Source organism: Homo sapiens, chromosome 18 (genome assembly GCF_000001405.40).
Source record: "Homo sapiens chromosome 18, GRCh38.p14 Primary Assembly".
NCBI classification, from domain to species: Eukaryota; Metazoa; Chordata; class Mammalia; order Primates; family Hominidae; genus Homo; species Homo sapiens.
The window spans coordinates 30156049-30181514 of NC_000018.10; the positions used below are offsets into that span (position 1 = coordinate 30156049).

At 36.1% G+C, this 25466-nt stretch overlaps 1 long non-coding RNA gene across 1 annotated transcript, besides 2 other annotated features; it reads right to left on the minus strand.

Annotated features, from left to right (window-relative positions):
- Positions 1 to 1283: 1283 nt before the first annotated feature.
- Positions 1284 to 19967, minus strand: LOC124904344 (uncharacterized). The gene is made up of 2 exons (XR_007066444.1): positions 19693 to 19967; positions 1284 to 1553 (listed from the first exon to the last, which is right to left on the minus strand). It is a non-coding gene; the product is annotated as an uncharacterized LOC124904344 (long non-coding RNA).
- Positions 19670 to 19861: a silencer, noted in NCBI's record as "fragment chr18:27755683-27755874 (GRCh37/hg19 assembly coordinates)". NCBI's record gives its function as "represses an EF-1alpha promoter that drives an FKBP-Casp9 reporter gene in an ReSE screen in phorbol 12-myristate 13-acetate-treated (for megakaryocytic differentiation) K562 erythroleukemia cells {active_cell/tissue: K562(+PMA)}" and the evidence as "EXISTENCE:reporter gene assay evidence [ECO:0000049][PMID:32094911]".
- Positions 21103 to 21303: a silencer, noted in NCBI's record as "peak3089 fragment used in MPRA reporter construct". NCBI's record gives its function as "represses an SCP1 promoter by STARR-seq MPRAs in K562 erythroleukemia cells {active_cell/tissue: K562}" and the evidence as "EXISTENCE:reporter gene assay evidence [ECO:0000049][PMID:32103011]".

Here is a 25466-nt window from a genome sequence, read left to right on the forward strand (position 1 = left end):
TCTGAAAAGTCACAAGGCATATTCTCACAGTAGATTTAATATAATTCATTCTAATTCCCTTATATTTAATAACATATCACATCACCCCTAACAGGAGACCTTTAGTCTATTAGTACAGATAGTATTTAACAAAATAACAATTGTACAATAGTGTAAATTTCCACTTTTCCTTTCCATCCAGAAGATGGCTTAAAATATTGACTAGTAGACTCAGATGGAAGTTGAACTTTATTTGGTTTATTTAGCCTTCCTGAAATTTCCCACAGCTCCATTTATTTTCCCCTTGCTATTTGAAACTCAGAGGACCAATCTTTTCAATGTGCTATTACTTTCATAGATGGATAACTTCTCAAATGTTAACAACACATAAACAAAAATCAGTTGTACACATTAATCACAGGTGAAGTTTTTTCAAAACACAAATAGAGACATTGGCTGAATGTTGGCAGTGAAATGATTGTAAAGCATCATACAGGGATAAACTGATATGTACATCTGTGCTGTGAATAGTCATCTTAAGATAAAAACTCTGATAGTCTTATCAAACTATGGAAAAATATGGTAGAATTTAGTGACTTATTCGTCATTAAAAATACACCCTAAATTTTTACAATCAAATGAAACATTCAATTACCTAATACTGAGTTTAGCTGTCAACTCAGCCCATCATCTTCTCCTAAGGATTTATGTTGATAGGTCAGCAATCATCCCAAGCATTGTTGGTGTCCATGGCAAAGTTGGGGGAGATGATAGGCCGTGAAGCATGTCACTTTTACTCATAATTCTTTAGCTGGAACTTGCTGCTATATCCACCTGTATTACAGGGAGCAGGACACAAAATCTCACCATGTAGATAGAGGCAAGAAGTCGTAAATATTTCTTAGCAGTGTTAATAACTACCTCAAGGGGTAATAAGTACTTGGGAAAATACATTATATAGTGAAAGATAGGTTCACATTTTCATCCCGAACATTAGAGCCACACGTATTGAAATTCTCTTTTATTTTCCTTTGGATTTTAGCAAGAGCTGAAAGACTTGCAGTTATCTCCCCAAGAGTGGCCTTTGTGATTCATTAATAGATGAACACTCCTGAAGTGGGTATGTCTGACTAGGGTACTGATTGTCCCAGATGGTTGGCTTGAATAAATGTTCAGACCTAATATTCCATCATTTATGTAAACTGCCTGAAGTGCACAACAAATACAACAATAGTTATTAGCACATGTGACCTACGTTATTTAGGAATTAATTCATCACAAGTTACAGAAAAGGACTCAAGATGTTTTTCAGCAAAAAATAAAATAATTTATTAAGATGATATTAGTGTGGCTTGTAGAAAACAAGGATGATAATGAGTCTGGAGCTTAGAAAAAACTACCTAAGAAAGAAAATGCCATCAGAATCAACTCTCAGTCTTTTGTGTGTTCTTCTGTCCGTATGCTTTTCCCCTGCTCCTCTCTTCTCCTCTCTTCCGTCTCCTCCTCTTCCTCCTCCTTATTCTTCTTTAATAGCACAAGGCTTCTTTTTCTTAAGTGATCAACGTGGTTGGATACTTTTAAAAAGAAAGTTTAGAAAACTTTTTTGAATATCCTGAACATGAGGAATCAATTTCAAATTCAGTGTTGGGGGACAATGTTCTAAATTAGATCTTCTCTAGGAGAAGACCATGCTGTCTGAAAAGAGAGTAAGTTGGTGGTTATATTCAGGTTGAATATTCGCCCAAGGTTCCACCCATGATGGCTATGTGAAAGAGGGTCATAAGTAATATGTGTACACCCCCTGCAGTGAGTTCAGCAAAGAAGGTTTAGGTCATGGACTGATGTGGTCCCCACTCTATTACTTTATCGTAAACATTTTCTACGCCGCTGCTAGACTACATGTGTTACGTTATTTACTGTTACATTATCAATATCTATAAGTGCCCAACACATATTAAGTAGTAAAAATGTATTTATTAAGTAATAAAAACAAATATTTCTGAGAACATATAATTATTTGCAAATATCAGAAACTTATGAAATTTGTTTCCAACTGACCATTTTTAAGTATTTGTTTTAAAGTGAAGAAATAAAATTCCTTCTGTGGTAGATATAATTGGTTGTTTACCTGATATTTAGTTACTTCTTATTCTCTGTAAAATAATCCCAATTTTGTTAATCTGGCTCTTTGTGTCGTACATAGACTTTGTAAATCACAGGAAGCTAACTTTATCCTTCTGTCCAGAGGTAGGTCCTGACCCGTCTAAATAATCATGCTTATCTGTAATTGATACAGAAACAGGCTAAATTGAATCAGGACACAGAAGAGAATATTCTCGAGATAAACGTCAGTAGTTAAAGGTAGGTACAAGTCCTATACTGACTTGATCCCTATAAAGAAATAACTTTAATCTCTTGGCTATGAGAGAAGTTTCCTTTTTTTTCCACCCTATATATGAAAAGACAAAAAAGGCCCTAGGTTCTGCTAATAGCCATCTTGCAAATATGAAAACAATAAGACTGAATGAAGACTGGCATGATAAATAAGGTGAAAATCTGAGAAACAGAGCTAGGACTCAGATTCACCACATCTGGCACTGGCCCTTCCTTTGAATATCCTGCTATATGAGATAATGTTGCCATTTTTCTCAGAGCTGATTTGAAAAAGGCTATTTGTTACTCATAGCTGAGGAAAACAAATGAATAGTTATCCCTAAATATATCTTTGCCTTTAATTGTGAGCTAATGGCCCCTTATAACACTTAAGTGTCTTAAAATATATATTAAATTCCAAATGCAAATTTATTCTACTTAGCTTTATTCCCAGCTTTCAAAGTGGTTGTTCATTAATAGTATAGTAAAAGAGAAAAAAAAGGAAGAAAGAAAAGGGGAAAAAAAGAATGTATATTTACCTACCATTTTCCACCATAAAAGTTTGACTAGCCAAACTACAAATGATCCTTGTCTCTTAATATAATTAATCTGTATTCACTTAATTAGTCTTTGACTCAGATTACTATATGTATTTCAAAGTAATTGAACAGTCTTACAAGCCTTATAATTCAGACTTTTATTATGTCAGGTATCTGTTCTCTTTAATTATTTCACCTTAATTGTTTTTGAACAGTCCACTCCTCTCTAGAAAACTATGCATCTTTCAGGCATTTCTACTATTTCAGAATGACCATCGAAAGTGCACTTTATGACTTCTGTTTCTAAAAGTATCTACAATGAAATGGACTATTTAGAAAAATTTTATTTAATAAAGTGTGAAATAGGTAATCATACAAGAGGAAAAGTACAGATTTACCATCATCTGAAACAGCCTATAGAATTGTCATTAAAATGGGCTTTGGTGGCATGCACTCTTCCATTTTTTGGCAGGCTAGAAGTGTGAAGCAAACGTCGTTTAGTACAGTCCATATCCCTAATCACTGTGAAGTAAACGTCATTTAGTACAGTCCATATCCCTAATCACTGTGAAGTATACAGCAATGAAAACCTTTATCTTAAAGCACGTGTTTGCACCCTAAAATTGGAAGGAAAAGTTAACTAGTAGATACTTTAATGTTGCGATGAAGAAACATTATAGGGCAATTCTAAAGGCCATACAAGATTGCAGGGCAGAGTTGGGAAGCTTTTAAAAAAACACAAATTGAGATGGCAGAAAGAAGTGAGGCAGGAAGAAAATACTTGCCCAAAGTGGAGGGCAGCCAAGATTCTGAGATTTTGTCCCACGTGGCAGACCTTGGATGTCTCAAGTGACTTGGGCAACAATTTACTTCCCTTAAGATAGAGAACTTCCATAATTAAAAGGGACTAATAATTGTATTGTAAAATACTGACTTAATTCAGATATAAAGTAAAGGATAACTGTAATATTTCTTCAGGAGTAACCACTCGCCTGAATCTTATAAACAACCAGATAATCATGTTTAAAAGTGTTTAAACAGTATTTGTAAGTATGGGAAACATTAGTTAAATTTAGGCCTTTGAAAAAACAACTATATATATGAGATAATCTAATATGAACTTTTATTTTGATGTTTTAAACGGATGAAAATAAAGTCACATGGGTATGTTTAAAGTTTTCGACAACCACTTTATTACCATCTTTGCTACTTAAAATATGACCTTGATGCTTAAATTGCATGTTTAATAAAATGTTTCTTCTAAATATCATTTAATGAATTATTATTTTATAAGATTTTGTACTAAAGGGGGTTTTCTAGAAAAGTATTCATCTTTTCATAACAAAGATGACTCATCATTTTGTATTATTCATATTTGGCCAGGCAGGAGAAAAATATAATGGAGACTAATGGAATAGCTGGAATCATGTTGCCTTTTGAACAAAGAACTTTTAATCTCACCACTCACAAATAAGTTGGCCACAAGTTTTATTAGACAAGAATGTTGTTCCCAAATTATTTTGTCTTTTACTCAAACATATATCAAAATCCAATTGTATTATGTTGGCTGTTATGTTCTTGCCTCTTTAGAACAAGAAAGTTTTCAAAAGAGAAACAAGTATAATGGAGTGTGTATATGCTTACCAAATGTGGACAAGCAATAATGTGTACTGTATACATGGTCAGTTTTAACATATTACGAACACTTCTGATATCCTCATATGACTTATTTTTTTAAAATGTTGAGCTTTTTTAAGGTCCATATATTTAGCAATCTGGTTCTACTGTCAAGGGAAAACCCTTATTCATGAAAAAATAATAAGCTTAGGATAAGCATAATTAATTTTATTCTATAAGTCAAGACATATTTTGATTCTGATTCAGACATAGCTACCTGTTAAACTTATTTCTTGAAATTGTTTGATATTCAAAATCAAGAATTTTGAGTTTCCCTATTCTGACAAGAATCTCTGACTTTCCCACTCTCTACTGCCTTACTCTGTTGTATTTTCTCTTCATCATTATGTTTAATATCTTTGATTTTCTCCTATCTCCTCCTTTAAATGTTTAAAGATCCTCAATTGCTTTTATTTATATTATTCCTAGTGCTACCATCTTCCATTTGTAATGTATTCTGCACACTATTGTTAGATTAAACTTTCTAGTGAAAAACTTATGCTTATCCTGCTTTCTGTGAAAAAACTATCACTGTCTCCCTACTTCCAATGGAATGAGTTAGTTTCTTTAAAGTAATGTTTAAGGTGCCCTATCATCAAGTTCCTCCCGTCAATTCAACTTTGTTCTGCACTTTACGCAAAACTATGCTCCAGACAAAGTGAACCATTCACATTTTCTCACGCTCGTGTTACAGCCTTGTCAATCTTACCCTACATTAATCTCTTCATTTATGCTTTGTTATGACTACTGAAATTGTTGTTATCTATAAGGCAAAACATAAAGGTTACCTTTGAGAAAAATATCTTCTAATCTTACATCAAAGGGTGATTTTGCTCTTCTCTAAACTATCTATGATTTACCTGTACTTCCCTTATAATACTTGTTATAGACTTATTTGTATTAAAAATCTATGCAATATTATTTCATCATTCATATTAAAATATTACTTTCTTCAGGGAATAAATTAGACCTGCTTTTGTCATCTTGGGAAATCCTATAATACTAAAATAATGTATTATGTGATAAATATTAATATTTTAATATACCCTGAGATTTACTAAAATTATTTTATATAACAAAATATTTGCTAACTGAAAAATGTAATTTCCAAAATGATTCAAGGGAAAACATTTCACTTAAGATATTCACTAGTACTATTTAGAACATATAATCTATTAACCAATATATTTCTCATAGACATGAAAGTAAATAAACGCTATTGCGTTTATATTATGATGTACTTTCTGAATATTTTATGACATATTCTTATTCTGGTCTACTCTTCTAAAATGCTAGTTTTATTTTCTTTTAATTGTCTTAAATTCTTAGAATGTGGAATGCACATAACTAGTTACTGCTTATTAATTTAAAGACATTTGTCAGGAGGAAAACTTCCAAACAGATCTGTGTGCTTTTTGCTGCTGCTTTCTGAATAGTTAGCATAGTCCTTAGCACATAATAAACATTCGATAACTATTCACTGATTAAATGGAGGAATGAATGAATGGCTACATGAATGAAAATGTATAAACACATAACGGTCTGAATGTTTCTAGGAGTGCTTTAGTGATTTCACTTGCTATAATTTCATCTGGCACTGCATAGTTTGAACACTTTATGTAGCGTAATAGTTGCAACTCTGAATAAAGGTCACATTGAACCTACTTCAATGACATTTTACTTCACAAAGAAGAAAAAGGATTTCATTATAATCTCCACAGTTTAAAATTCATTTTGTAAAACTTAAAATTATGTCACAATGACATTTAGCACATGGATATAGTTGGAATTATAAAGGGATTTATTTTCTAAATTTAAAAATGCTTTTTATAGCTATGTCCTATGTCCTAATATCTGAATTTCTTCTCTAGAATATATATAATTATTTCCAAAACATTGCATGTATCACTGGATTAATACTGAATAGGCAAGTTGCCTTTTGAACAAAGAACTTTTAATCTCACCACTCACAAATAAGTTGGCCACAAGTTTTATTAGACAAGAATGTTGCTCCCAAATTATTTTGTCTTTTACTCAAACATATATCAAAATCCAATTGTATTATGTTGGCTGTTATGTTCTTGCCTCTTTAGAACAAGAAAGTTTTCAAAAGAAAACTCTGAGATATTCTTTATGACCAGATAATCATGTCTGTTTCTACCTGAAATTTCTCTGCTGGCCACAGATGACTAAATGAGGAATAGCTGTATAACTAAAAGGTAGCCAATGTATAGGCTATCAACCCATAAGTTGGTACAATAGCACCACCCAAGATAAATTCCTTAGGTTAATGCTAGGCAACTGATCTTATAATTTCTTTTTTGTTTGTTTGTTTGTTTGTTTTGAGATGGAGTCTTGCTTGTTGCTCAGGCTGGAGAGCAGTGGTGTGATCTTGGCTCACTGCAACCTTTGCCTTCCGGGTTTAAGCAATTTTCCTGCTTCAGCCTTCAGAGTGGCTGGGATTACAGACGTGCGCCACCACGCCCAGCTAATTTTTTTGTTTTGTTTTCTATTTTTGGTAGAGATAGGATTTCACCATGTTGGTCAGTCTGGTCTTGAACTCCTGACCTCAGGATCCACCCACCTCAGCCTCCCAAAGTGCTGAGATTACAGGCGTGAGCCACCACACCTGGCCATCTTAGAATTTCTGTATCAGGATTTGCTATATTATTCTATGATAGAAGAATCACCCTAAAATCTCAGTGGTGTAAAATAACAATCAAGAATGTCTTACTCATGGTACATATCCATTGTGGTTGACTGTAGATTTGTTCCAAGTGTCTTCAGTTCAGGAGACAGATTGACAGAGAACCTCTATTTGAACATTGTCAATCTGCTGGTTGAGGGGAAACGGACATAGTAAACAACATTCTGACTTATTGAAGCACCTACTTGGGCATGACATACACCACTTCTACTCACATTACATTGGCCAAGCAAGTGGCATGACATAGGTGTGGTCAAGAGAGCAGGCATGTGCAGTTTTTCCATAGAGCGGCCCATAGAAGAGACATGGTAGGTCGTGATAGTGAATATTGAGAAAATAATACAGTCAGCCACCTTGTCCCTTTAGAGTTTGAACTAGAGTGAGTCAGCATCACAAGCATAAAGCACCACAAGCATAAGGAGAAAACAGCTGAGCCACAAAAGTGGCAGATCAGGAAAGGAGAAAGCAAAGCATGCCTGGGGCCATGAGGTAGCTCACCTCTGCAGCCAGAGAAGGCCTGGGTTGTTCTCTCTTGTTATAGACATATAGGGAAAGCTGACTTTTTTCACTGAAGGTGTGCTCTTCAAACTATGTCCTATATTTTGTTATGCTTTCAATCATAAAAATAAACCTCCCTTGCTTAATGTTCATTCAGTGGCCATTTCTTCAAACACAAAAGAGTCTAACATCTAACAAGAAAACGGTAGTGAAGCTTTGTGGTTTTCTTTCTCTTCCTTAAAGAAAATAACTCTCAAATAATTAGAAGAAACTCTAATTCAATAGCTTATATGAGTATATACTTTTTAATTTTTAGAATGTATGCATAGTTTATTTAAAATAAATAAAAATTTAAACTAAGTTAAGCAGTTTGATGACAGAAAACACAGAAAAGGCATAAGTGCTGAAGGGTTCAATTTGACTAACGTAGTCTGGGACTTCAGAATGTGAAACCTGTTTATCCGCCAGTTTCCTAATGGGCATGTTATAGGCATCAGGTTAATATAAAACTAAAAGATGTATATGTATGTGTATGCATGGGGGCGAGTGTGTGGGGTGGAATTGGCTTATTTGTTTATTTTTATTTTTCTGTCCTCTTCCACAGATGGTGACGTTAGAATTGGCTTGTATAAATGACGGGTAGAACCATCTTATATAGCTTTATGTAATTACCAAAATAAACTTATAAAACAAAAATATTTTGTATTTTTATTATTTTATTGCTCCTTTCCTCTTTACAGCACATTGTCTTAAGAACAAAATCTCAGTTTATGATTTCATTTTTATTTTTTCTGCCATTTTCAGCTTTACAATATTTGCAACATATTATAATCTTCTCATATTGGTGAATTTTTACTGATCACAGCTTTATAAAAGTATGCATAAAAAAAACCATGATGAATAATGGCTAGAAGCTTATCCAAATTAAATATTGACATGAAAATTTACACTTACTTAAAAATATTAGTAAATATTTCATATGATACTTTATATATCCAGATACACTGGACTGTGTAATTATCTAAAATAAAGTCATGCCATATGATTCAATGGAATTATAGTTAAATAAGCTCATTTTATCCTAAGGCAGAGTAGACTCTCTCCCCCAGCCCCCCAAAAAATACTGGTGTTAATTATAAAAGGACAAGCATTTGTTAGTTGATAGCTTTATAGTTGGTTATTTATGAGGAAAACCTCGGATTTGATTTTGTTGTTTTTTTTTCCACTCATGCATTGTTCACTCAACAAATATTTCCATAGGCTTGACACTGCTAGGCACCTTGAGCATAAAACTGAATGAGAGCTTGTCTCTGCATTGAGAGTGTGCCTCGTTTACTGGAGAAATGTTCCCAACACCAGGACCTGTCACAGAAAAGTTATACTTAATACTGTGGTACACACTATTTTACCAACTGCCACTTGGATTCATGTGTCTATGGCCTGGCTCACTTAATAAAAGGAAGAGCACACTGGCAGTGGAACTTGAAAAAACAATGAAAATAAATTGTTGTTATAGAACTTCTTTAAGATTACTCAGAAAATATTGCTCACTGTTAATCCCATGAAATCAGCAAGGTGAAAATCTTAACTATGAACAGAGAAGATGGGGAAACATGAAAGTTTGATGTGAAATGGAGAGAAGGAAATACAAAAGGGGAAGTAGAAAGACAACAAGAAAATCCTCTTTGTCTCGGGCACAGGAAGGCAAAAAGGCCAGAGGAACAAAAAGTAAAAGAAAGAAAAAAATGTAGAAAAAGTGGAGCACATGCAAGGGGAAGGAACTCACTGTGGGCTTCTGGTGCATGAGCCACTGTGGGGGAAAGCTTAGTGGGATGAGCCGAAGGGCCATCATTCAAATCCTGGCAGGGAAGGTTTTGTGAACTTTAAGAACAGCAGAATTTATCCTACAGACGAACTGGAAAAGAAATCAAGACTGTGGAGAAAATGGGCTGACTGCAAAGCAGGGAAAGTCTAATATATATTTTTTCCATTTTATTTAGAAAGAAAATGACACTAAAATAAGAATGTATCAATTTCAAAATATTCTCAAGTGTAACAAGCTAAAAATTAAACAAGCGTGGAGTGAAAAAGTGGCAAATAAATGTGGGAGTTAAAATATTTTAATTTAAAAATGATACTTTTCAGTATTATAGACACATTTAAATCATTTATGGGGAAGGAAGTTAATAAGCTGTAATTAAAAGTTACATAAGCATGGATAATTATGAGTCCTATAACGAGGACATTAAATGTTTAAGGAAGTTGGAAAATCAATGAAATAAGCAAATACACAGTTGAAAGGAAAGAATGGACTGTCAAGGTTGGTTGAGGGGAGGGGACCATCTTTAGAATAGGACAGATACAGGTTAGAAACTCCAACCCTTCCCTTAACTATTTGTTGCTGGGAATACTATTTAACCTTAGTAAGTTTACTCACATTCCTACTTTTCTTTTAGTGGGAATAATGATGCCACTTTAATGATTAAATAAAATAATGTATGAAAAGTATCTACAGCACTAATTTTCACTAAGTTGACTGCATTAAAGTTACTATGTATGGCCTCACAGATTAAGTACATCACAAATTCATTATTCATATAGACCCAAATACAGCAATCCTACTATATTTGTTTTCATTTTCTGAGCAACAATGAAAACACAGAGTAAAAGGGAAGGAAAAAAATGAAGTAACATCTCTTAAAATAAAAAAATAATTAGTACCTTGAACTCTAAACACTTTGGAAAATAAAGCTTTCTATGAAAAAAGGGAAAGCAAAACAAAATATATAAAGCAACCAACAATTAAATTGTCTTAGTATAAAACAGAAGAGAAGAGGAGAACATTACAAATAATAAAAGTATACTGTGTTTTGAAATACAAAAATGAATGCCTCAATAATTTTCAGATATGCATTGGGAAATGAATTCTTACAGTTTGAATAATAAAATACAATCTGCAGAAGTGTTTAAAATAAACAAATATACTCTGGTTTGTCTTAAGATTGTATAACTCTCTTTAAGGGAAATAACTTTTATCACAAACTTTATATAGATGTAGTCATGTACACACATATAATAAATGTTTTTAAAGTAACTTTTATCACAAACTTTATATAGATGCAGTCATGTACACACATATAATAAACAATGTTTTTAAAGTAATTAAGTAATATCAACAGTCATTAAAAAAGGTAATAAGGCTAGGCACAGTGGCTCATGCCTGTAATCCCAGCATTTTGGGAGCCTGAGGTGGGTGGATCACTTGAGGTCAGGAGTTCAAGACCAGCCTGGCCAACATGGCAAAATCCCATCTCTACTAAAAATACAAAAATTAGCCAGGCATGGTGGTACAGATCTGTAGTCCCAGCTACTTGGGAGGCTGAGGGAGGAGAATCACTTGAACCCAGGAGGCAGAGGTTGCAGTGAGCTGAGATCACACCACTGCACTTCAGCCTGGGCAACAGAGTGAAGCTCTGTCTCAAGAAAAAAAAAATGGTAATAAAGCCAAATATGAATACAAGTGAAAAATAAAACTAGAAATTCCAATCTCTCAGACAACAAAATTCAAGATTGCTTTTTAAAATATACATAAGAAAGACACGTATACACTTAATGAATAGAGAAATGTCACAGTAGAATTATTAAAAAGGAAAGAAAACAAAAAATGGATTTCAAAGTGCCATAAATGGCTCCTGAATTCCAATACTTCATTGTACTTAATGTTAGGTAATATAACGTGAGAAATTAAATTCTCAAGAAAGGCAACACCACTGATGCCACTTTTCTAACCATGTATTCCATAACAGACTTGAATTCACCTTTTCCTCCTCCTCCCACACCTCACCATCATGGTTATTCTATGTCAGACACTGTTTCTGGGGGGTTACATGGCTCATCTCATTTTAACCTTCATTTTAGTGACAAAGGTCTGAGACCAACACAAAGTTTACACAACTTTCATGTGATAAAACTAATATAAAAAATGAGATGCTTTTGTCTAACATTAAAATAACAAAATTTTTTTTAGGAACCTCCATATGTTTTTCTATAATGACTATACTAGTTCACATTCCCACCAACTGTGCACAGGGTTCCCTTTTCTCCACATCCTTGCCAAAACTTATCTTTTGCCTTTTTGATAAAAGCCATTCTAACAGGTGTGAGGTGACATCTTATTGTGGTTTTGATTTGTATTTCCCTGATGATTGTGTTGAACATATATACATGTTGGCTATCTGGATGCCTTTTTGGAGAAACATCTATTCAGGTCCTTTGGCTAATTTTTCATCTGGTTGCTTTGTTGCTGCCGAGTTGCTTGAGTTCTTTATATATGTTGAATATTGACCCCTTATCAGATAGATAGTTTGCAAATATTTTCTCCCATTATATATGTTGTCTCTTCACTCTGTTGATTGTTTCCTGTGCTGTGCAGTCGCTTTTTAGTTTGATGCAATTCTGTTTGCTGTTTTTCCTTTTGTTGCCTGTGTTTTTGGGGTCAGAGCCACACAATTATTCCCTACAGGAATATCAAGAATGTTCCCGATATGGTTTACCTGTTTCCCCACCAAAATCTCACCTTGAACTGTAGTTCCCATAATCCCCACAAGTAGTGAGAGGGATCCGTTGGGAGGTAATTGAATCATGGGGACAGTTACCCTCATGTTGTTCTGCTGATATAGTGCGTGAGTTCTCATAAGATCTGATGGTTTTCAAGAGGCTTTTTCCCCTTTTGCTCTTCATTTCTCCTTGCTGCCATCATGTTTCCCCTCCTGCCATGGTCATAAGTTTCCTGAGGCCTCCCCAGCCCTGTAAAACTGTGTGTTAATGAAACCTCTTTCCTTTATAAATTACCCAGTCTCGGCCATGTCCTTATAGCAGTGTGAGAACAGACTAATACAATTTGTCTGTGCTTTCTTCTCAAAATGTTACAGTTTCAAGTCTTTCATTTAAGTCTCTAATCCATTTTGAATTGTGTTTTGTATGTGGTGTGAGATAATGGGCTAATTTCATTCCTCTGCATGTGGATATTCAATTTCCCCAACACTATTTACTGAAGAGATTTTTTTTTCCCAATTGTGTATTCTTGATACCTTCGTCAAAAATCAGTTTGCTGTAAAATAAATGCACTTATTTCTGGATGCTTTATTCTGTTCCATATGTCTATTATTGTATTATTATTGGTCTATTATTGGTCTATGTGTCTGTTTTTAGGTCAATACCATGCTATTTTGGTTACTATAGCTTTGTAGCATATTTTGCAATTAGGTAGTGTGATGTATCCAGCTTTGTTCTTTTTGATCAAGATTATTTTGACTATTTGGGTTTTATTGTGGTTTCATATAAATTTAGAATTTTTTTCATATTTCTGAAGACAATATCATTGCATGACCCAGGAATCCCACTTCTGGATATACACCCAAAGGAAATGAAATCAGTATGTCAGAGGTATCTGCACTCCCATGTTCATGGCCACATTATTCACAATAGTCAAAATATGGAATTTGCTTAAGTGTCCTTCAATGGATAAAGAAAATGTAGTACCTATATATAATAGGATAATAATAAAGATGAATGGATAAAGAAAATGTAGTACATATATATAATAGGATAATAATCAGCCTTGAAAAATAATATGCTGTCATATGATACAGCATGGATGACCTGGTAGGACATTAGGCTAAGTGAAACAAGCAATGCACATAAAGACATATACAAATATACAGAGAGAGTGTATATATGATTTATTATAAGGAATTGGCTCACAAAATTATGGAGGCTAAAAAGTCCCACCTCTGCTATCTGCAACCTAGGGACCCAAGAAAACTAGCACCATAGTTAGGAAAATCAGAGTACCGATGTTGTCTAAGTGGAGAGCAGGAGGAGATTGATGTCCTAGCTCAACAGTGAGGTAGAGAGAGAGAAGTCCACTCTCTTGTTCTATTTGTTCTGTTCAGGCTCTCAGTGGACTGGATGGTCTTCAACATTGGGGAAGAAAATCTGCTTTACTCAGCCAACCTATTCTAAGGCTACCTTCATCAGGAAATATGCTCACAGAAACACCCAGAAATAATGTTTAATCTGGACACCCATGTCCCAATCAAGTTGGCATATACAATTTACCATCACAGTAACTCTTCTATTTGTACTCATTTTAAACAACTTTGGGGGTCAGAAAACTATGATCAATATTATTCAAGCAATTTGCCAACATGATCTTAAATTAGAAATAAAAACCTCTCGCAGTGTGAAATATATTTAATCATATACCAGCCCTGAGTTATTTACTCATCCCAGCTCCTCCTATGTAAAAATTGATAAACTGTGTCACCATAGGCATAAATGGAGAGAGAACAATGGAGTTTTCAACATTTTATCTTTAAGAAATAAAAAGTTTCCCTTGTGCGAAATATTTTCAGCTTTTCAAAAGTTTAGTAGACTCTGAGGAACAAAACTCTATCCCAGAATTTGAGACTGAGGTCTTAGTACAAATGTTTATACTACGTAACAAACCTAAAATTTAAGTGGAGTACTAAGAGAAGTTGATGATATGCGCACTTTTCATTTTCATCTGGAAATTAAATTAACCATGAAAAATATCTCTATGTTTTCTCTTTTATATATACACTTGTGTTTCTTCTTCATATAAAGTCTAACTTTTTTTTTCTTTAAAATACTGTTCAGTGGTTATTCTTAGAGCACATTGTTAATCTCTTATATAAATACTAAAAAATGAGGTGTAACTCTCATCTACCACATAGAAAACAACATAAATATTTTAAAAAAACTTACCTGTAGCACAAACTGGAAGTGTTTGAGCATAGACACAGTTAGTGTATATATAGCTAAAGAGCTCCAAGCAAACAATACAGGAGGATATTTCTACATAATTAGAAAGGAATTTGATTCAGGAAATGACTTTTTATTTGAAAAATCATTAGCATCATTAGATAATTCACTTGCTAATAAATCATCCCTTTCCATTTTTAAGTGATTAAAAAAAGATATTTCCTTATATTAACCAAAAGTCATTTGGATTTTCAATATTGTACAATCAACAAGAATTCTTTTTAGTTTTATAAAAAGCAATACAGGCTTTAAAAATAAGTCCAGAAATATCTCCTTTGACCTAATTTCTCCACTAGGTACTATATTCTCTTCTTTATAGATAAGCTTCTTGAAAGGGTATTATTGCTTCTTATCTCCCCTTTATTTCTTACGTCCCCAGAAATCTGTTTTCTGCTCCTATCCCTCCAAAGGAGCTATTTATTCTAAGTACATGAAAGAAATCCAAATGTCTAATTTGCTTGATATTGTCCTTGCTAATATGAATCAATTTCGATATTTGCTATCTCTTTATTCTTAACAGAATTTATTCCATTGCTTTATTCGACGGTACTGTCATCTATCTTTAGTTCAGTTATGAAGTTACTAAACACAGTTAAATAAATTAATTCTGAAATACTGATAGAATGCAAAACACTTTGAATGTCAGGAGTAAAGGAGAAATAGTAGAGATATGAAGAGGCTGCGGTAACAGAAATGGAAAGAGGTCTAATTTCAGCTCAGTATATTCTATTTTCTCCAAATCCCCAATGAAAGTTGATATCACACCATATACAATATAGAGAGCTTAGAATGCACTGTTATTCAATGCCAGATGTACTAGTAATAAGAGCCATGTATTTCTATTTCCATACTATTGTCTCTGGAACAATTCCCAAAATAAAATACTTGTACTTAATCTTCACATAACAGTTTCTGAGGGAATCTAAACTAAACTTTATATAAGTGGAAAAAAAAAGATTGGATATTTGCCAATCTTTGGTATGTGGTTTTATTTAATTTTAAAATATTTGTACTTATTTTGAATTTTTATTTATTTTTGATGTCTAATTTACTAGTGGTTATAGTGGAATAAATTAAGCAATACATGCAAATTATAGAATGCAATTAAAAATAACAATTATCAAAATTATCACTATTGTAAGCTGTATTCAAATGAGTAAGAGGTCCAAAGGATAATGGATTCATTAAGACCATTGGTGATGACTTCTTATGACAAATAACACAAGCAGTATTTGTCTTCTTTGTTTCTTTTTCTTCTATGAGAAAATGTTTAAATACCATTTTATTTCTACCTTAAAAAACAGCAATAAAGCTTTAATACATTTGAAAAACATGAACTACATGGAACAGGATCTTGAATCCCTCAGTTGGGAAACACAGTCCTTAAAGGATGAATCTACAAGTGAGGAATAGGAAGATATTTGAGGCAAAACACCGTTTCATTAGGTATTAGCTCTGTGCTCTGGCCAATTCTAACTTGAGCTTCTCAACTGCAAAATAGTCACAATAATAGTGTGCATTTTGAAGGGTTATTAGGAGATATAAATGAGATAATATATAAAGTACTTAATAAATACTTGCTTTAGTGAACTCTTGTTAAATCTTAGCTATAGCTATTGCTGCTATTTGAATAATTATTACTTGTACTATCATTATTAATAAAGTATAGGTTAGAAATCAGGAAAGAAATTTAATCATCCTTACTATTGTGGAATATAAAAAAGTAGAAGCCAAAGCGAAGTCTTTGGACCTTAAACCAATGCTAACTTGAGAATTACAATTTGGGTCCTGATACCGTGTCTTAGTCAGTTGGGGCTACTGTAACAACCTACCATAGACTCAGTGGTACATAAACAACAGACATCAATTTCTCACAGTTTTGGAGGCTGAAAGTTCCAGATCAGGGTACTACCAGCACTGTAGCGTTCTGGTGAGAGTCCAGTTCCGGGTGCAGACTGATGATTTATTTTTATTTTTCTTTTTTTTTTTGAGATGGAGTTCCCCTCTTGCTGTCCAGGCTGGAGTGCAATGGCGCGATCTCAGGTCACTGCAATCTCCGCCTCCCGGATTCAAGTGATTCTCCTGTCTCAGCCTCCCAAGTAGGTGGGATTACAGGCATGTGCCACCACACCCAGCTAATTTCGTATTTTCAGTAGAGATGGGGTTTCTCCATGTTGGTCAGACTGGTGTCAAACTCCCGACCTCAGGTGATCCGCCTGCCTCGGCCTCCCAAAGTGCTGGGATTACAGGCGTTGGCGCCACCTCGCCCGACCCTGATTTCTTATTGTATGGCCACATGGTGAAGGGCAGAAAGGCAAGCTTCCTTTTGGGCTTTCATAAGAAGAACACTCATAATCCCAATTATGAAGAGCTCCACCCTCATGACCTCATCTAATCCTAATTACCTTCCAGAGGCCCCACTTATAAATACCGTCACATTATGGAAAAAGCTTTCAACATATGAATTAGGGGGCAAACTTTCAGTCCATTGCACTATACAAAGCACTGGAGGGTCACAGATGAATTCAGAATATTTTCCAAAGCAAAGAAACTCACATCATCTTGCAAAAGTAGGGCCTATTAAATATATGTTACAATTTTATGTTACATGCTATTGAAAAATAAAAATATATTTTGGAATATGTGTATCCACATATGTGAAGACAGTTTAGTTGTCTTAAAGTTTTCTTGTGCATTTTAATATGCAATATCTTATTGACGTGAAAATGTCTCCTATTGTTTAATATTGTTCAAAGATCATTAACTATAGTCACCTAAGAACTGCTGCTATATACAATAATAATTGAAATATAAGATGTGATATTTATATCTACTACATATATATTAGACATATATCTCATATATAATACATATGATTTTTATATGATACATTTTTACTTATTATTTTGTATACACGAAATAAGTAAGTTTTTATATCTGGACAAGAGAACTAGGAGGGTGCCACCAAAATGTTCTTCACTAAGATACCAGTGCACTGTCAGTGGCTTCCAAGAATCTTTATTTATTTATATATTTATTTATTTATTGAGACGGAGTTTAGCTCTTGTTGCCCAGGCTGGAGTGCAATGGCGCGATCTTGGCTCACAGCAACCTCCGCCTCCCGGGTTCAAGTGATTCTCCTGCCTCAGCTTCCTGAGTAGCTGAGATTACAGGTCCTGCCACCACGCCCACCTAATTTTTTGTATTTTTAGTAGACACAGGGTTTCAACATGTTGGCCAGGCTCATTTCGAACTCCTGACCTCAGGGGATCCACCCGCTTCGGCCTCCCAAAGTGCTAGGATTACAGGCATGAACCACTACGTCTGGCCCCAAGAATCTTTAATACTGACCCTGAATTATTTGTAAAATCTTAACATCATTCTTCCTTTAGAAGAGAAATGACTTTACAAATAATATCCTGATTTTAAAGCAATGCTTTGTACTTGGACAGGCTTGTACTTTGTTTATTAGTTCAGTACAACTATTTTATTGACCATGGTAATGTTACTTAACTCTGCTAAGCTCTCTTTTTCCTTCTATGAAATGGAAATGATAATGTGTCCGGAATTGGTGGGTTCTTGGTCTCACCAACTTCAAGAATGAAGCTGCGGACCCTCGCAGTGAGTGTCACAGTTCTTAAAGGCAGCCTGTCGGGAGAGTTTGTTCCTTCTGATGTTCCAATGTGTTCGGAGTTTCTTACTTCTGGTGGGTTCCTGGTCTCACTGGCTTCAGGAGTGAAGCTGCAGACCTTCGCAGTGAGTGTTACAGCTGATAAAGGCAGTGTGGACCCAAAGAGTGAGCAGCAGCAAGACATCGCAAAGAGCAAAAGAACAAAGCTTCCACACTGTGGAAGGGAACCCCAGGGGCTTGCCACTGCTGGTTTGGGCAGCCTGCTTTTATTCCCTTATCTGGCCCCACCACATCCTGCTGACTGGTCCATTTTACAGACAGCTGATTGGTCCATTTTACAGATAGCTGATTGGTCTGTTTTGACAGGCTGCTGATTGGTGCGTTTACAATCCCTGAGCTAGACACAAAACTTCTCCAAGTCCCCACTAGATTAGCTAGCTACAGAGTGCTGATTGGTGTATTTACAAACCCCCTAAGCTAGACACAGAGTACTGATTGGTGCATTTACAAACCTTGAGCTAGATACAGAGTGCTGATTGGTGTATTCACAATCCCTTAGCTACACATAAAGATTCTCCAAGTCCCCACCAGATTAGCCAGACACAGAGTGCTGACTGGTGCATCCACAAACCCTGAGCTAGACACAGGGTGCTGATCGGTGTATTTACAACCCCTTGGCTAGACATAAAGATTCTCCAAGTCCCCTCTAGACTCGGGAGCCCAGCTGGCTTCACCCAGTGGATCCTGCAGGAGGCCGCAGGTGGAGCTGCCTGCCAGTCCTGCGCCTTGCGCCCGCACTCCTCAGCCCTTCGGTGGTCGATGGGACCAGGCACCACAGAGCAGGCGGCGGCGCTAGTCAGTGAGGCTGCGGCGGCGCTAGTCAGTGAGGGTCCCGGCGGCGCAGCAGCCCACGGCGGTGGGGGAGGCTCAGGCATGGCGGGCTGCAGGTCCTAACCCCTGCCCCCCGGGGAGGCAGCTAAGGCCCGGCGAGAATTCGAGCACAGCGCTGGCGGGCCGGCACTGCTGGGGAACCCGCCGCACCCTCCGCAGCTGCTGGCGCGGGTGCTAAGCCCCTCACTGCCGCGGGCCGGTGGCGCCGGCCGGCCACTCGGAGTGTGGGGTCCGCCGAGACCACACCCACCCGGAACTCGCGCTGGCCCGCAAGAGCCGTGCGCAGGCCTGGTTTCGGCCCGCGCCTCTCCCTCCACACCTCCCCGCAAGCTGAGGGAGCCGGCTCCGGTCTCGGCCAGCCCAGAGAAAGGCTCCCACGGTGCAGCGGCGGGCTGAAGGGCTCCTCAAGCGCGGCCAGAGTGGGCGCCGAGGCCGAGGAGGCACCGAGAGCGAGCTAGCATGCTGTCACCTCTCAATAATATTTACTACTAAAGACTGTTAAGCTAAATATATATATATGGCTATATATGTGTGTGGATAGATATACATACATATTGAAACTGGAGAGGTTCCCTCATCCCTGTGGCAGGGCGTGCGACAAGCGGGGGCTCCCCTCGATGTCCTCTCAATGTCCGGTGGCTTGTCTTCTTTGGCCGATATTTTCATCTCGTCGTCCAGCAGCTTCCGTTTCTGTCTTGCTAGGGTCTCGGATTTTTATAGGCCCAGGATGGAGGTATGGCGGGCCAGAGTGGTCTTAGAAAACGCAACATTTGGGATAGAAAGTAGGAATGCGGGTCTTCACTTAAGTCTGTGGGGGTGGGGCCTTAGACAGGGGCCACGCCCTCCTCTACCCAGCACTTCCCTTCCCTGCTTCCCTATCTTTTAAAGAGACCATGCTCTTCCCTTCCCAGCACTCCCGTATCAATATGTAAAGAGAGAGATCTACATAGACAGATACATAGGTGGATAGACAGAGAAAGACAGAGAGAGAGAGAGAGGTGGAAGGGGCACGGACTCAGTAGATGTATTTTTATTTGATGTTTCAATCAGTTTATTTGATATTTCAATCAGTTTATTAATATAGTTAATGTGTGTATATTTCAATCAGTTTATTAATATAGTTAATGTGTGTATATTTCAATCAGTCACTATTCTAGAGATTATGAATAACATTTTTTTCTTTTTGTTGGTACTTAGCTATGTAACCCGGGCAGAAAGTCTAGAACCCAGGGAAAACTACATTATTGAAAATAAAGTAATAGGGACAGATTTTCTATCCTTTTTAAAAATATTCATTACGAAGGATATTCAATGCATCTGTAATCAAACGTCAGTGACAGTACGTGGAAGTACCTATTATATTTTGTGCCCTACTGTATCATATTCAGAATAAGCATCTTCATATGGGACTGGGACATTGGCTTCTAAAGTAAAAAAATCCATTGCCCTGCATGTGGATGTCATTTATCAGAGCTTGGCAACTTGAATTTATTTATTTATTTATTTACTTATTTATTTATAAATTTTAAGTTCTCTTTTTTTAATTTTTTTTTTTTTTTTTTTTTGAGACAGAGCTCTGTCACTCAGGTTGGAGTGCAATGGCACGATCTTGGCTCACTGCAACCTCAGCCTCCGGGTCAAGCGATTTTCGTGCCTCACCCTCCTGAGTAGCTGGGATTACAGGCCTGTGCCACCACGCCAAGCTAACTTTTGTATTTTTAGTAGACATGGGGTTTCACCATGTTGGCCAGGCTGGTCTCGAACTCCTGGCCTCAAGTGATCCACCGCCTTGGCTTCCCAAAGTGCTGGGATTATAGGCATGAGCCACTGCGCCAGGCCAGAATTAAAGTTAGGGGCTCTCCTGTTGAAAAGAGTGCTTAATTTTATTACTCCAAAATGAGTGAAAATATTTTCGTTGAATTCTACTGGAGTACGAAACCCTCATCTCAAGGACTCATTGTGGAAACCACGTCTAATTTTATTTGTGTCATTCTTCCACTACACAGTATGCCAAGCAGTCTTCATGTTGCCTCTCAAATAGTTTTCCAGTGTCTTGATAAAGCAAATTCCAGAAGTCATGAGTCAACGTCTAGAAATGTTTTAAAATGAATGATTAGCAATTTCACACAGTGAATTCTGTGGGGTTAGCAAAAATATGTTGAGCAAAATATGTCATTAGGACATTTTTTAATAATCAGCTCAGTCTAGGTCTCTTTACTTCAAGTTGTATGTATCAACATATACATGTGTTTATCTGCTTTCCCTGGTGAAGATTGCCTGTGCTGACAAAGATTTGGAAACCCAACCAACAATTACAGTCAATGGCTCTATATTATGACTCCCAATGTTTTCCATTCCATTGACATTGTTACCTAAACCTTGGTCAATTAAAACGTATTTTATTTAGACTAGTGCTAAGAATAGAAAGAACTGGATCATTTCTGTGACAGAACAGAACTTAACAGGTAAGAGATCAGGTCTCCTTCCTCAGCTCTAAGAATAGAATGCATGAAAGCAGAAGGGCAGAGATTATGTGATACCATATACCAGCAGAATGTCTATAAAAATGGGAATGGTGCAATTAAAACAGATCCCTCAGGCTTCTAGTCATTTTTACAAAATGTCCTTTGGGCCTCTGACATTAGTCATCTTACTGGACAATTCAAGTCACCAATAACTTTTATCCCAATTGGAAATGTAGTATCTACAAAAATACACCATCCCCTGAGTGTAATATGATGCTTTACTTCACACAGCAAAAGAAATACAACTTCAAAAGACAATAACTAAAGCTGACAAATATTGGCTACGTTGTCACATACAATCACCTAGTTCCGCACACTGATTTTTATTTTCCTGAGGACTGTGCCAACAGATGTTAATGTGGTATAAATGAACATGTCAATTTTCTCATAACTATGTTGACAAGTGTTAAAGAATTCAGCTTAAGAGGGACATGCTATCTGACTATTACCTGTCTTCCTCTTTTGTATCAAGTTACTGTGTTGCCTGTCCTGGGTTTGATGTCTTATCACAGGGTAGCATATGGCACATGATGAAAAAGCCAGAAATATTATTTTATCCACACTAACTCTGAAACAACGAGCCTTGCCCACTTTTTGGATGAAGATTAGCAGACCAATGAACACCTCTGCCTAAGGACATAGGGGAAGGAGGCAGGAGGCATTTGTTCCAGGGGCCTGGTTGTTGTCTATTTTGATTTAGCAGAAGAAATCTTTTCTTTGCTGCTTTAGTACTTTATTATTTCCTTGCAGGAAGCTTTTCAGAAATAAGGCATAATGAAATCTGCTAAAATATAACTCTTGCAGGCCAGGCACAGTGGCTCATGCCTGTAATCCCAGCATATTGGGAGGCTGAGATGGGTAGATCGTTTGAGCCCAAGAGTTCGAGAGCAGCCTGGGCAACATGGTGAAACCCCGTTTCTACCAAAAATACAAAAATTAGCTAGGCTGCAGTCCCACCTACTTGGGAGGCTGAGGTGGGAGGATCTTTTGACCTCAGGAGGCAGAGATTGGTTGCATTGTTTAAGATTGTGCCATTGCACTTCAGCCTGGGTGGCAGAGTGTGACCCTGTTTTGAAACAAACAAACAACAAATACACACACAGACATCACATCTTAATTCACAGCGTGCATCTAAGTTGATTTTAGTTAGTTGCATATGCTGTGGACCTAAATGACCCTCACCAAGCAGCATCACAAAGTTACCATTCCATCAAATGGTTTTCTGAGGTAACTGGCACAGGAGCTGAACTACATTTTTGGGATTAATATTAAGAAAATAAAATTATCAGTATTTAAATTCCAGCATCACCATACTATTGTTATTCCTATGGATTAATTCAATACGCTTTGAAAACCACCTGACCTTCAGCTAACATAGATACCATACCAGCTTGGTACAACTCACTATACAATTGATTTTTTTCCTTGTGGACTTCGTATTTATAGAATACCATTGTTTATCATGGAATTATGGAATGTATGTTTCTGTAGTTGTTTTGTTTTTTTGTTTTTTGTTTTTGTTTTTTGTTTTGTTTTGAGACAGAGTCTCACTCTGTCACCAGGCTGGAATGCAGTGGTGCAATCTCGGCTCACTGCAATCTCTGCCTCCCAGGTTCAAGCAATTCTCCTGCCTCAGCCTCCCAAGTAGCTGAGATTACAGGCACGCACCACCACGCCTGGCTAATTTTTGTATTTTTATTAGAGACAGAGTTTCATCATGTTGGCCAGGATGGTCTCGATCTCCTGACCTCATGATCCGCCTGCCTTGGCTTCCCAAAGTGCTGGGATTACATCTGTGAGCCACCATGCCCAGCCATGTTGTTTTGATCTTAGGATATTATACACAATACTGTCGTTGGATCTTTGGATACAATATTTTTAATAAAATCTGAGTTTTTTCTGATACATACAGTCAAATTCACCTGGCAAAAATGTGACCTGTTTTAGATTTTGTTACATGATACTCAATTCCTCTCCGGAAAGAGGAAACCAAATTTGAGTGTCACTGGTAAAACTTGCCAACATTGGTTTTTATCACTTTTATTTGTTTTAGCTACTTTAATGAAATCTGAAATTGTGCTAGAGAGTTCTTTTAATTGCATTTCTATAAGTGTTACTAAGTGTATACATTTATCTAATTTTAAATCTGTAATTTCTGATATATCAGAAATTAATATATTATTAATTATATATAATTATAATATTATTATATTAATAATATATCTACCTATTTCCTCCTCGTCCTCCCCATAAAATATTTGCAGAAAATAATATATTTGCCTAATCCCTTTTCTTTTAGAATATAGAATTTAACCAGATTGTACTAGTCTTCGGGCACAAATAGGAACATATTAACTCATTTATTAACACACATTTTACTGTTTCGTTGCATCTAAATGAATAACAAAGGACATTACTGTCACTCAGTCCCCTATAAATTCCTTTCTCAGAGAAATATGCCTGACAGTCACCAAGGGTGTCTTACCAATGCCTTCTAAGTTGCATTGCAGTTGCATGGGCACCTTGGTCTCCAGTGCTCCCAATGATCACTGGGTGCACAGTACCAATGGTGTATAATGGACCCTGGCAAAGTAGAACTTTAGCAGAGCTAATTTTATGTTTTAATTTCAGTTGAATTTATGCTCCCTATGCTACATATGAGACTAAGCCAAGGTTCCAAAATAATCTGAATGACATGCTGTCCCTTCCATTAAAAAGGTATTATTGAATTACAGTCACCATGCCACCCTCTGAAGAATGAAATGTACCAAGAAGTTCCTCAGGCTACCTGTAAATTGTTATTTAGTGGGTAGTACAGAGAGTCCTCTCAATTAGCTTGAAAGACATGTTCAAACATATCTAAAGCTTACTTGAATGGAAAACTGCTACAAAGAATAGCATATACAGGTTAGAACTTTGTCAGACATATTACTTGGTTTTGTAGCTGTTTAATCTATATATTTTATGTATATTGGACATATAAACTTTATTATTGTATATTTGCATATATTTGATGTGCCAAATGATCAAACCCACCATTTTTTCTATTTCTCTTTCTATACCAGGATAACTGTTGTATCCTGTGTTCTCATGGACATTTAAAATAAGATTTTCATAAATGTTTGATTTATCTAAAATTGAGTGTATGGAGAGGAGTAAGAGTTCCTCGTTTATGCAGCCATTTTATTTTTTAACAATAGTTATTAAATAATGATGTCTACGCTCACAGTTTTGTTGGTTTTGACATATTCTTAGTTCTTCCAATACTTAGCAATATTTAATGACGTTTATTTAATCTATTATGTTTTCTTTAAGTTTCATAATATATTAAGTGTTATAGTTTACCCTTTAGAATTGCGTCAAAATAAGTTGTATTTAATAATTATAACAATTTTCTAGGGTGGTAATTTATATTTCTGTTTTACAGTTGAGACAACTGAGACATGGAAAGTTTACATTATAGGTGGCAAAGCTATATTTTTAGAGTTTCAAATCCTATGTTTTTAGCCATTATTTTATCCTAACTTCTTTTGTTACATTTCTATTATATGTTATTGCATACAATAAAATTTTGCTAATTTTTGTTTTGTAATATGACACAATATTTAGTGAAACAAACACAACAGTCTATCTCTTCATGGACACACACACTCACACACACACACACATATACACACACACACAGTTGCTGCTATTTGTGTGATTTGCTAAATTAGTTAATTCTTTCAGTTGTACCTTAATTATGAGCCTATCAAGTTTTATTAAGTGTTCTATGATGGACTAATTGCTATTTTAATCAA